At 43.2% G+C, this 13058-nt stretch overlaps 1 protein-coding gene across 14 annotated transcripts in view, besides 1 other annotated feature; it reads right to left on the minus strand.

The window, feature by feature from the left end:
• C10orf90 (chromosome 10 open reading frame 90) overlaps positions 1–13058 on the minus strand; it is a 245697-nt gene that overhangs the window by 94414 nt on the left and 138225 nt on the right. For 2 of the 14 annotated variants that reach the window (NM_001004298.4, XM_047424557.1), the window contains exon 1: positions 1889–2031. The exons of 5 other annotated variants lie outside the window; for them this stretch is intronic. In NM_001004298.4, coding sequence (NP_001004298.2) covers positions 1889–1910 — 22 coding nt within the window. In that variant the 5' untranslated portion in view covers positions 1911–2031. 7 more of the 14 variants (XM_047424559.1, XM_047424560.1, XM_047424556.1 and 4 more) reach the window with 7 other exon arrangements.
• Positions 1599–2798: an enhancer, noted in NCBI's record as "BRD4-independent group 4 enhancer chr10:128209578-128210777 (GRCh37/hg19 assembly coordinates)". NCBI's record gives its function as "activates an origin of replication core promoter dependent on BRD2, P300/CBP, MED14 and CDK7 cofactors, and independent of BRD4, by STARR-seq in HCT116 cells {active_cell/tissue: HCT116}" and the evidence as "EXISTENCE:reporter gene assay evidence [ECO:0000049][PMID:35650434]".

A 13058-nucleotide genomic window follows, 5' to 3' on the forward strand; every position in this document is an offset into this window, starting at 1 on the left:
GATCCACCCAAGAAATGTGCAAATGGCAAATGCCCAGAGGCCTTCAGTCTGTTTAATAATTACACTTACTCTCCTACCTACATCATTAGTGTCAGAGGCAGGGAAGGGGCACTCAAATTCTTACTTCTTGGATTTTTAAATGCCTTCTCTTATTTGTAGTCTTATGGAAGTCAAGGTTTATTCTGAATTTTCACCATCCTTTTAAAAATACTCTCTGTTAATATTTTAAAACAGATGTTTCTCAGAGAGAATCACTTTTCAGCTTTAAATTCAGCTAATCATCTTGGTGTGATTTGGCGCTATTGACTACACAGTTTCTCTGGGAAGTCTTCCTGTCTTCAACTTCTGGTCTCCTGTCTTTTTCCTCTTGGCTAGTGTGTCTTACTTTCTTTTGGGGGTTTCCTCCTTGACATTTCTCTGTCCTGCCTTTGTGCCCTCTTCCCAAACCTGAGGGACCAATCCAGCCGAGGAGAGGCCAGATCCCCTCCGTGAGCACCGCCTCAGAGGCCGGCTGCCTCCAAGTTGCCTCAAACAGCTTTTGCAAAAGGAAACCAAGCCCCCTCATGGTTCTCTGTCCTTTCTTCCTCCTGTGTCATCGCCTTGGCCAGTGGTTGAGCAAAAACCAAACGCCTGACTTCATCTGGGGCAACATCCTCCCCACCCTCCTGTTGCCCTCATCAGAAACAGAGGCGCCCACTCTGCACCCTCCCCCTCACCTCCAACATCCAACTGAAAGCCAAGGCTGGTTTGCTCCTGAGACAAAGGCTCTGCTCCATTGCGTCAGTTCACCTCCCTGCCCTGCTGGTGTCAGCAAGGTCACAATCAAGCTGGTGACCCCACCAGCCTCATCTCCCAGCCGGTCCTGCCAAACCTTCTTGACATTGCCAGTTTGTGACCGTGAAGGCCACATGGTCCTCCAAAACTCAAATGCAAGGGATTCGTTTCTCCCCAAGAAAAGGTGCAAAATTGAAGCACACATGTAGGGGGACCCTGGGAGTTCAAGGAGCCCAGGTTAGAAATCCTTAAACCCAGCCTGCTTCCCACAGGGGCTGGCTTGATGACCGTGAGTGCTGCCTTCACCTTTTCCCCACTGAGCTAACTCCTAACTCCTCACCCGTGACACGGCTCAAGATCGCTTCTCTTAGAAGGAAGTCCCGATCCGCTGCTACCCCACATGGCCCCCAAGCTGGATTGGTGCCTGCGTTCGTTCCCAGCGCTGCTGTGAAAAGTGACTACAAAGGGAGCAGCTGGATACAACAGGGATTTACTCCTTCCCAGTTCTGGAGGCCAGAAATCCAGGTGTCAGGACCGTGCTCCCTCTGAAGGCCCTAGGGGAGGACCCTTCCTTGCCCTTCTCAGTGTCCCGTGGTGTCTGGCATCCTCTGTGTCCCTCGGCTTGGGACAGCCCCTCTCTAATCTCTGCCTCCACCTGCACATGGCCATCTTCCCTGAATGTGCCTCCAAAACTCTCTCCTTTATAAAGACACCAGTCATTGGACATAAGCCCCACCCTACTCCAGTGTGACCTCATCTTAACTCCATGACATCTGCAAAGGTCCTTATCCAAATGGCCCTTATCCCAATAAGGTCACATTCACAGGGATCAGGGGTTAGGCCTGGAACGTATCTTTTTCAGAACACTATTCAGCCAGCCCACACCAGCGCCCCCAACAGGCGCTACCGTGCATCCTTTTCATGCTGTTGTGTAATGATCTGTTCCTGAGTGTCTCCCCAAGTTGGCCCAGGTCTTTAGAGATACCTGGTTCATCTCCTTTCCCCTGGGGCCTCATACAGTACTGGGCCCAGAAGATACTCAGCGTGGACAGAATGAACAGATTACTTTATATTTTAATAAGGGTTATATCTGTGGAAAAAAATTAGAACATACCTTCTCCAGACAGTTTGAGCATATTCTACTGAGGTTTCAAAGCCATTTTACTCAGTTTCAAAGGTCTTTTAATGACAAGGATGTATTTGGCGACATGAAAGAAAAAAATGTCCGGAGTTTACCTCTGTGGCTAGGCTCAGAATGAGTCAGGCTTCCACCTTCCAGCCTCGGCCAAAGAACCTCAAAGCTCTATATGTAATGAAGTCACCGGAATGTTTACAGGGCAACCAGGGGAGGTGGCATACAAGCCCACCTTGTGACATTTCTTGTTAGCAGCAATCGTCTCTTTGATGTTTACATTTGAGGCTTCTTTGATGAGTAAAACAAGTTTGCATGAGAGTTATTTAAAAGTTTTCTTAGTATTAAAATACATCCAGATAACGTCACACTGGTGATTAATCTACTTGTTACCAATTTTTTTACAAATGGTTTATGTAGAAAATTGAGCAATATAACAGTTTACCATGCAAGCTCTTATAAGACTGATTGGTTTTCAATTTAGTGAAATATCTTTGACACTAAATTATAATGAGCATTGTTTTATAATTTATACCCAACCAAATTTGAGGTAGCTTATAGTTAATAATGCAGTTTAAAAACAGTAAAACTGACTTTTAAAAAAAGCACATAATGAGCTGGAGAAGTCATTGACTCAAACCCAAAAGCCTGGGCTAAAGATAGCACCGGCAGCCTGGCGTGGTGGCTCATGCCTGTAATCCCAGCACTTTGGGAGGCCAAGGTGGGTGGATCCCCTAAGGTCAGAAGTTCGAGACCAGCCTGACCAACATGGAGAAACCCCATCTCTACTAAAAGTACAAAATTAGCCAGGCATGATGGCGCATGCCTGTAATCCAAGCTACTTGGGAGGCTGAGACAGGACAATCGCTTGAACCTGGGAGGCAGAGGTTGCGGTGAGCCAAGATAGCACCATTGTACTCCAGCCTGGGCAACAAGAGTGAAACTCCATTTCAAAAACAAACAAACAAACAAAAAAAGAGATGGCACTGGTACAGATGAATCACAACTACAGGGTGAGTTCCCCACTGCTGAAGCAAAAGGGGAAATGTGAGAAACTGCATAACTTATTGCCTTTCCAATGAAATACACAATTTTATAAGGAGAGCCATTTTATCTCCTGGGATAAAGCCTCAGTCATTACATAAATGCATAGTGGCTTTGTAAGCAGTTTCACAAACACAAGACAAATGTAAATTTCACTGGATAATCTCAAGCCCCTTGCGTCTGGTCAGTGTCTCCGTCATGTCATAATGGCTAAAACGCATTGCACGTTTATCATGAGCCACACACCTGCTAAACGCTGGACAGGTGTTATCTCCTTTAATGGAAGAAATGACCTTGTGGAGAGGGCACTATGACTACTCATTTTACAGATGAGGAAGTTGAGCTCCATTTAAGTCTCTTACCAGGTGTCACCCCTCCAGTAAGACTAAAGCTGCGAGTTTGCAATATGAATAATCACTGTACATGATTAGGAGAAGGTAAAAGTAGAACAGCTTGAGTTTTGACGCCTGGTCCAGGTTGACTCTTGGTGCCACCACATTTTAATGCTGTCTAGCCTTGGACGAGCCACGTAACCTCCTGGCCTCTGTTTGTTCCTCTGTAAGAGAGAGGCTGGCATAGGCTTTGTTGGGCTGGGAATTATTAAATGAGGCAAATAAAGGTTTTCATGGGCTCAGCACAGTGCTATCATGGAACGCTCCCTCAAAAAACAGTGTGTTATTAGATACAGTTTTACACATAGTTTCCATCTCTCTCAGAAAATTATGGTTTATAATAAAGACATTTTAAAAGCCTATTCTACTGAATTTTGTGGTCACTTGGGCTCTAGCTGAATCTGAGACCCCTGGAGTGTGAAGCACAGTCTTCTGGCCCTTGGCAGCCAGGGTGGGTTGTTCCAGCTTTGCTTTCCCTGTGGCTGGAGTGTGGGTCTCTCCTGGTGACAGAGCAGGGGCACCAGACTCAAGGATGATGACAACAGCCAAATACAATAATGCACGTGAAAGCACCCCGCTCATGGGTACCGCACTGATGTGATCATGCCACTATCTCAGTGCAGCAAACATTTATGGAGAAGATAGCACTTTTGAGGGCCTGAGTTGGGTGCTGAGACAGCAAAGATGCAGAGAACACAAGGAATCCCTGTCTTGGAAGAACTCACAGTCTTGAGGAGATGACACACATAAAGAGATATTTTTCCATGCATTGCGGATCTGACCATTTTCTTTTCTCTCATGAGTTGTCTCATTTTTTGAAACCTGTGATAAAATACACATAAAATGTACCATGTTCATCATTTCTAAGTGTGCAGCGGTATTAAATACTTTCCTAACATGCAAGCATTACCATCATCCATCTCTAGAACTCTTTAACCTGCAAAACAGAAACTCTCTCCCCATTAAACACTAACTCCCCCTTCCCACCTTCCCCCAGCCCCTAACAACCACCATTCTACTGTCAGTTCCTACAAATTTGCCTACTCTAGGAACCTTATACAAATGGAATCATACAGTATTTGCCTTTGTGTGGCTTATTTCACTTAGCATGTCTTCAGGGTTCATCCGTGTTGTAGCATGTGTCAGAATTTCCTTCCTTTTTAAGGATAAATGATATGCTATTGAATGTATATACTACAATATCCATATCCATACATCCATCAGTGGACACTAGTCACCGCTTAGCTATTACAAATAATGCTGCAATGAACATGGTTGTACAAACATGTATCCAAGTCTCTGATTTCAATTCCTTCTTAAGAATTGTCTTTTGCCTTTCATGCTATGGTTCTTGATCTTATTATATAATATTTTCTTAGCACAAACTAGTTCTTGTTTTGAGAGGTGGGTGGGGGTGGCAAGGAGATAGATCTCTGGATAGATAATTTTGGTAGTAATCTTAAAACCATCTTTAAAAACATTCCTTCCTCCCTTCATGACCACATGTGCAGAGGGAGGAGGATATAAGAATGAGGGTCTTGTTTTCAGACCATGATGGATATAAGCAGTTAGACACAGGTAGTCTCTGTTGTGCAACCCAAACACCTTCAATGTGGACATCAATATGCCAGGAAGAGGAGGCACTCTCCTCTCAGAAAGATTTCAGAGCTGGGAGGCAGCCCAGGTCAGGGAGAACTGAGGCCTGGGTAGCGGGGACAGGAATCCTGCTGGGAAGACTAAGAAATTAGGAGCCTCACCTAAGCAGAGAGTCAGGGCTTAGGCAGCAAGAAGGTGCACTGGGAGAAGCTGAAAGATGAAAAGTTTGTCCCCATTTTGGGAGCCTTAGTAGGACACAGCATGATATGCTGGGAGGGGTCCAGACGGCAAGGACACTAGGCTCCAGATCCCACCTGGCCACTCAGCCATGTCAGCTCCTCCTCTGGGCTCATCTTCCTCATCCGCGAGGCAAGGAGTGCACGCACCTGTATGGCCCCTAGGGTGCCATCTAGCTCTGCCATGAGGGCTTGTCCTACAAGAGCTGGGGGCCATCGAGGGAGGGCATGTGTGAGAGGGAGGCAGTCTCCACTTTAGCTTGCTTCTCCCATTAAGTGGAAAACGCCATTATTTCCATCACTATGTACTCCCTCCTTTGTCAAGCTCACTGAACAAGCATCATTATTACATAGTATTGAAAGTCATAGTGTGGTTTGATTTCAGAGGGGACCATTTCTGCCCTTGCAGGTGGGTGGCAGAAAATTGGGATGCTTCTGTGGACAAGAGTGGCCAGAAAGAGATGCCACCCTCAACTGCCACCCCAGCTTCCCCCTAAGGGAGATCCATGCTGCAACAGGGTCCCAATTACCAGACCCGTTAGTCAGGCAACTTTCTGTAGGATGAGCACGGATGAATTATTTGCTTTTAGTTCAGGACTGGTGAACAAGCAACCCACCAGGAAGAAAAATGGGACGTCCTTGAAACTTCCTGCAGAAGAGGATCTGGAGGCGCATTCGGCCCACTGCAAAGCCACACACGTCGGTGAGACCAAAGAATTTGTCACCTCAGATTCTTTCGTTAACAGACAGATTCATTATGTAAACAAGACACAAAAATATTTTCATAAGATGTCAGAATGGATTTCCTCTCCTTCCCCAGCAACAATGTGATTCTTGTTTGTGGGACTGTGGGGCTTCTTGTCTCTCATCTGTTCAGCTGAATTGGCCGGAGCAGAATGTCTAGAGCCCAGAGCCGGAGCCTGCAGAGATGATTACAGGCTCCGCCGTGAGCTGGACAAATGAGGTTGGGGCAGCATGTGAAAGCCCAAGTTGTAAATCTCTCATTATAAGAGCCATTAGCCACACGCTGCACATCGGGGGTCTGGAGAGACACTGAAACTGGACATGGTCCGAGAGCCTAGCATCAAAGGAAAAACCCAGGCTCAAGATGTTCACACCACTGCCATTATCCTGTGTCCCCACTTAGAAACTCAAAGTGGCCTCTCTACAGAACTCTCCAACGGCTTATCAGCAAAGCCAGACAATTAGAACAAGGTTGTTCTTCTCCCTGGTGTGGGTTTGGTTTTGAGTTCTTTGGCTTTTTGTTTTTGCTGTTGTTGTTGTTTAATGGAGCAAGGAGCCCTGCACTGCCTGTCTTCTGCTATTCCCTGCTGTATAGCAGACCTTCAATTTAGGCAAGAACAGGGAAACCGTCCTCTTAAATGGGTAGGCACATAAGAATCCAAAGCTGCCTAAATAGCTTGTCCACACCTGCCACAACACACACACACACACACACACACACACACACACACACAAAAGAAGCAGAGGCAAAGAGGGGCAGGGCTCTCCAGAGAGGCCCCAGCTAGGAAGTCACAAAGTCAGGCTCCCTCAGTCAAGTCTAAGAGAGGTCCCCATGTCTCTGACTTTTAGTTACATTCTCTTCTAAACACAGCCCTTCCTGATGGCCTGAGATGATCTCTTCTCTCTCTGCAATTGACTTTTTTTTTTTTTTTTTGAGACTCAGTCTCACTCTGTCGTTCAGGCTGGAGTGCAGTGGTGCAATCTCGGCTTGCTGCAAGCTCCGCCTCCCAGGCTCACGCCATTCTCCTGCCTCAGCCTCCCAAGCAGCTGGGACTACAGGCACCCACCACCACACCCGGCTAATTTTTTATATTTTTAGTAGAGATGGGGTTTCACCGTGTTAGCCAGGATGGTCTCGATCTCCTGACCTCGTGATCCGCCCGCCTCGGCCTCCCAAAGTGCTGGGATTACAGGTGTGAGCCACCGCACCTGGCCAACTAATTTTTTTAATAACAGCTTTATTGAGATATAATTTACAAGCCATACAGTTTACCCTTTTAAAGTGCACAATTCCGTGGTTTTTGTATATTCACCAAGTTATGCAACCATCACCAAATTCCAGAACATTTTCATCATCCCCAAAAGAAGTCCCATACCTGTTAGTAGCACTCCACATGATCCCTTGACCTCAGCCCCTGGCAACCACTCAACAACTGTCTCTCTCTGGAGTTATCCATTCTGGACATATCCTATAAATTGAATCATATAATATGTGGGCTTTTGTTTCTGGCTTCTTCTGCTTATCATAATGCTTTCAAAGTTCATCTATGCTATAACACGTATCAGGACATCCTTGCTTCTTAAGGCTGAATAATATTCCAGGGCATAGGTAGACCACCTATGTTGCATCTCTTCAACAGCTGATGGACACTTGAGTTGTTCCCCCTGTGGGTTTATAATACTACTACTGTGAAAATTCATGCACAAGTTTTTGAGTGATATATGTGTTCTATTCTTATACATAACCTAGGAGTGGAATTGCCGTGTCGTATGATCACACCACATACCACATTTAAATTTGAGGAATTGCCAGACTGTTTCCCAAAGTGTACCATTTTGCATTCCCACCAGCGATGTATGAGGGTTTCATTTTTCGCCAGCCTTCCTCACAGTTGTTATTGTCGTCTTTTGGATTATAGCCATTCCAGCGGGTGTGAAGTGGTATCTCATTGTGGTTTTGATTTGCATTTCCCTAATGGCTAATGATGTGGAGCATCTTTTCATGTGCTTATTGGCCATTTGCCTTTCTTCTTTGGAAAAATGTCTATCCAGATCCTTTGCTCATTTTATAACTGGGCTGTTTGTCTTTTCTTAGGATTTCTGGGGAAAAGGTGCTTAATGACGCCTCCCTACCCCTGCCAATGAGTGAAAGAAGCAGTGACGATTCTCAGACTCCGTAAGGCAGCATCTCGTATCTCTGCACCTTCAATGGCAGAGCATTTCTGTCATTTCTGACAAGGGGGCTGAGAGAATGTTCTTTGGTGTCCCACAGACATGGGTTTGCATCTAGCTTGGTCACTTATAAAATCTGTGACTTAGACAAGTCACCTAACTTCTCTAGGCCTCAGCTTCCCCATCTGCGAAACAGGGATTGTGATGTCTATTTCATCAGATTATTATGAGAGCTAAGAAAGAAGACACATAGAAAGCCCTTAGCACGCTGCCTGGCATGTAGGAAGCACCTAATACAATTTATTTTTTATTTATCCGGCAAATATTTAGATAGCATTGACCATGGGCCAGGCATTGGTCCAGGTATCAAAGTCACGGCATGAGCAAAACAGCCAGAAAAGTCTCTGCCCTTGTGGAGCTTATGTGCAGTTAACTTTCTTTAAAAAGTTAATGATGCTAGTTACTATTATAATTTAACATTTTTACCCTTGATTGCAAAATAAGTACGAGCTCATCAGAAACCAGAAACCAGGAAGACAAGATAAAGGAAGTTTCACTAATGAACTTGAACTTTAGAGTGAGACAAAGCATTAGCTTCACTAATTACAGCTCTCCTGCCAGGTCCCAGTATGGCCTTTCCTTTGTCTCTGCTATGTAGAGAGAGACGGGGAAGGAGAGGTGCCTGAGAAGCCATAGGCCGCGGGTCAACCAGGCCTCAGGAACAGGAAAAAGAAGGAGCGAACACCAGATTTAGCATTTCCAGATATCTAGACAAAGAGAGAGATAATACTTACCAATAAATACACTTACTAATCTTGGGGAGTTTTAGAAGCATCAAAATAATTATTTAAGTATAAAAAAAAGGAGAAGCGTGTGTGGGAAGAAAGAGCAAGGAATGAACCTCTTGATGCTTGAAAAACAGGTCCAACAGGGCTGAGTGGGGCTGAACATGAGACTGATTTACAGGAAAACTGCTAGCCTAGGCTAAAGAATGCTTCTGAAGCGTGGTGGCGAAACTCATTTGAGTAAATGAAGTTCTGAGATCATGAGAAACACGGTTCTATTTAGAGGTCAGCAATTCTGCAGTGGCAATACCCAGCTGGACCGTGATCAAGGCCAGCTCCACCACGGCCCAGCACTGGGAGCCAAGCGAGTCACTTACCTCCTCTTGGTTTCCTCATCTGCGAAATGGGCTCAATAACCCTGACCCCATCTGGACCTGAGGCTGGACTCTCAGGTCCTTCTTAGAGGACATTCCCACAGCCTGCAATGCTGCTTCTCAGCTCACTGTGGAGTTCTCTGTGCACCAGACAACAGCAGCCCCTTTGTATGTGTGAGCGGGAGAGGATAAGTCAAACCTAGGTAGGCAGCAGTTATCAACAAGACTGCCATTTGGAGAAAGGTAGATCTACAAAGGCAGACGTAGCCAGGGATCTGCCCTATCAGATATCAAAACTTATTATAAAGGTGAGAAGAAAGGTAGGTCATTGCTACAGAAATAAACAAAAACAGGCTAGTGGAAAAGAATAAGGAACCCAAAAAGAGACCCTCACATATATGGAAATGTGAAAAATAATGAGGTGAGACTATCTGTCAGTGGATATACACAATAAACACAACATTTTACAAACTACAATAAATTACGCTGGGACAATTAGCTACCATTATTTTAAAAACCAAAATTAGACACCTTTTCCTTACCATACCTACAAATCAACTCCAGATAATCTAAAACCTTAAACGCAAAAGGTAAAACTTTAAAACATTCTTTAAAGATAAAATAGTTAATATTTTCATGATCCTGAATAGGAAAGGATGTCTTTAGAATATTCCCAAAGACAAACACCATTAAATAAAAGTTTGATAATTTCAATCATTTTTACTGTAATAATTTCTGATCATCAAAAGATTCCATAAAGAGAGGAGGCAAGCCACAATTTAGAAAAAGATGTTTGTAACCCATATAACAGACAAAGGGTTATTATGGTTATTTAAAACTAATTTTAAAACCCCCCGTAAATTAATTTGAGAAAGAACAGCAACTCAATGGAAAAATAAGCAAAGACAAAATAGGCATTTCTCAATAGAATCATATTTTTCCCTAAGCAACTGAAAAGATATTCAACCTCATTAGTAAAGAGAGAAAGGCAAAATAAAATGACAATAAGAGACCATTCCGCATCTACCCAGATTGGCAAAAAATCAGTGATATTAAATATTGGTGAGGACATCAGACAACAGGAGTTCCCATGTGTGATCAGCAAGCAGCAACTAATACGATCACTATGGAGAGTAACCTGGTCAACAGAAAGATGAAAATACCTAACATCTAGCAATTCTGCTCTTATTTACAATATTCCATCAAAATCTAATACTGCATTAAGATGTGCCATTTACAAATGTATCATCAAGGAATAAAAAGCTGCTAATTATACTCTAAGATGTCATTAATTTTAATACATATTCTGGTTTCAGAGATATTGAAATGTAAAAAAATGGATCTTAAACTAAATGAAATGTAGTATCTACATTAAAAAACCTCTTGTACATTTGCACTGGGATATATAAGACTGTTTATTGCATCAGTTTTTAATGGTGTCAAAAAAAGCCCCTGAAAACAACAAAAATGTTCTTTGACAAGAGGATTTATAAATAAATTGTGAAATATTCAACTATCTATCAGTGAAAATGAATAAACTATACGTATGCACATTAACATGGATGAGAAAAAGCAAACCAAAATAAGAATGGAAACAGAAAATAATCAATCAATAAAACAGAAAAGAAATGATAGAAAAACTTGACAAAGTTAAAAGGCAGTTCTTAAAAAAAAACAAATCAGTCAAGAAAAAAATTTAAAACACACAGAAATTTCTATTGTCAGGAATAAGAGAGACATCACTGCAGAGACTACAGACATGAAAAGGATAATAAGAGAACATTATGAATAACTTTTATGTGAATAAATTCAACTTAGAAAAAAATATACAAATTGCTTGAAAAAAAATACCTTACCAAAATGATACAATATGAAACAGAAAGTATTAGGACCCCTATATCTATTAAAGAATTGACCCATTATCAAAAATCGTCCCATAAAGAACATGCCAGATTCAGGTAGCCTCACTGGAGACAAGAAAATGAAAGGGATAGAATAAGATAGAATGAGAAGGAAGAAACCAAACCGAGCCCAGGCAGCCTGCAGGCACATGCGGGAAAGATGAATTCTATCAAACTTTTCAGGAAGAAAACATGCCAACCCTACAAAACATAAGAAAATAGAGGAGGCTAACAAAAGCCTAACTGCAAAAGCTGATAAAGAGAAAAAAACAAAACAAAACAAAAAAAGCAAAAGAGAGAGGGAGAAAGAAAAAATGAAAATTACAGATCAGGCCAGGCGCGGTGGCTCACGCCTGTAATCCCAGCACTTTGGGAGGCCATGGCAGGTGGATCACTTGAGGCCAGGAGTTCAAGACCAGCCTGGCCAACATGGTGAAACCCTGTCTCTACTAAAAATACAAAAATTAGCCGGGTGTGGTGGCGGGTGCCTGTAATCCCAGCTACTCAGGAGGCTGAGGCAGGAGAATTGCTTCAACCTGGGTGGCAGAAGTTGCAGTGAGCTGAGATCACATCACTGCACTCCAGCCTGGCCAAAAGAGTGAGACTCCATCTGAAAAAAAAAAAAAAGAAAGAAAAAAGAAAATTACAGATCAAAGATCTCTCATGAACATAGATCAACAGCTCTCAGCTGGGGTTGATTTTGCTGCCCAGGGGACATTTGGCAATGTCTGGAGACATTTTTGGTTGTCACCTTTGTGGGAGAATGCAACTGGCATTGGTGGGTAGACGCTAAAGCAATCAGGGGTGCTGCGAAACCCCTGAGGATGCACGGGACAGCCCCATGACAAAGGATTGTTAGGCCCAAAGGGTCAACAGTTCTGAGGATGAGAAACCCTGACATAGACACAAAAAGCCTTAACAAAAGATCAGAAATAAAATCCAACAATGTATAAACAAGATATATTTATCCCAACCAAGTAGAGTTTATCCCAAGAATGATGCTGGAACAACTGGATATTCCACTGAAGAATAATATGCCTCAACTCTTACCTCAAATGCTTCACAAAAATTAACTTGAAAAAAATCACAGACCTTGCTCTAACATTAAAACTATAAGGCTTTTAGAAGAAAATAGAGCAGGATATCTTTGTAAACTGAGGAGGCAAAGTTTTCTTGCACCCAGAAAATAACAACTATAAAAGAAAAAGAAGGTAAATTAGACTGCATTAAAGTTTAAAACTTCGATTCATAAGGAGAAACTGTTAAGAAAATAAAAAGGGAAGCCACAGACTGGGATAAAATATTTGCAAGCCATATTTCTGACAAAGGACAGATATCCAGGATGTATAATGAACCCCTACAATTTAATAATAAAAAGACAACCAATCCAATATAAAATGGAGTTACCGAATATTTAACTACCCTAACTGGGTTGGAAATCACACACATTTGGTTAGTTTCTGGGTAGCTGTGTGTAGCATATAAACTTAGGCAGTTGCCCCCCACATCCAGGGCAATGAACTCCCCGATCATATACAACTTAGCTCTGGAGCTAGCATGGACTTCCACCTTTTCCAGATATGCCTCCAACCTGCCAGGGCTAAGTCTGGTTTTCTTCCATCTCATTGCATCTCAGCCTGCCATGTCCCTAACTTGACCTGTGGCTCTATCTGTGGATGGTGGGTAACTTTGTGATGATCCTCTTGGGCGGTATCAAATGCTCAGTGTGTAAACTGTCTCCTCATTGTAAATGTGATCGTCTAAGAGGCCACAGAGTCTGGGGTCTGAGGCCCTGATTCCAGTGGCTGGCATCACAATTGCATCTTTCTCCCATTCCCTATCCTGTTTCTTGGTCCCAGAAACCTCAGAGAAGACAGCTCCCTCATGGTCTCTGAGCTTTGGCCAGTG

The sequence above is a fragment of the Homo sapiens genome, chromosome 10 (assembly GCF_000001405.40).
Source record: "Homo sapiens chromosome 10, GRCh38.p14 Primary Assembly".
NCBI classification, from domain to species: domain Eukaryota; kingdom Metazoa; phylum Chordata; class Mammalia; order Primates; family Hominidae; genus Homo; species Homo sapiens.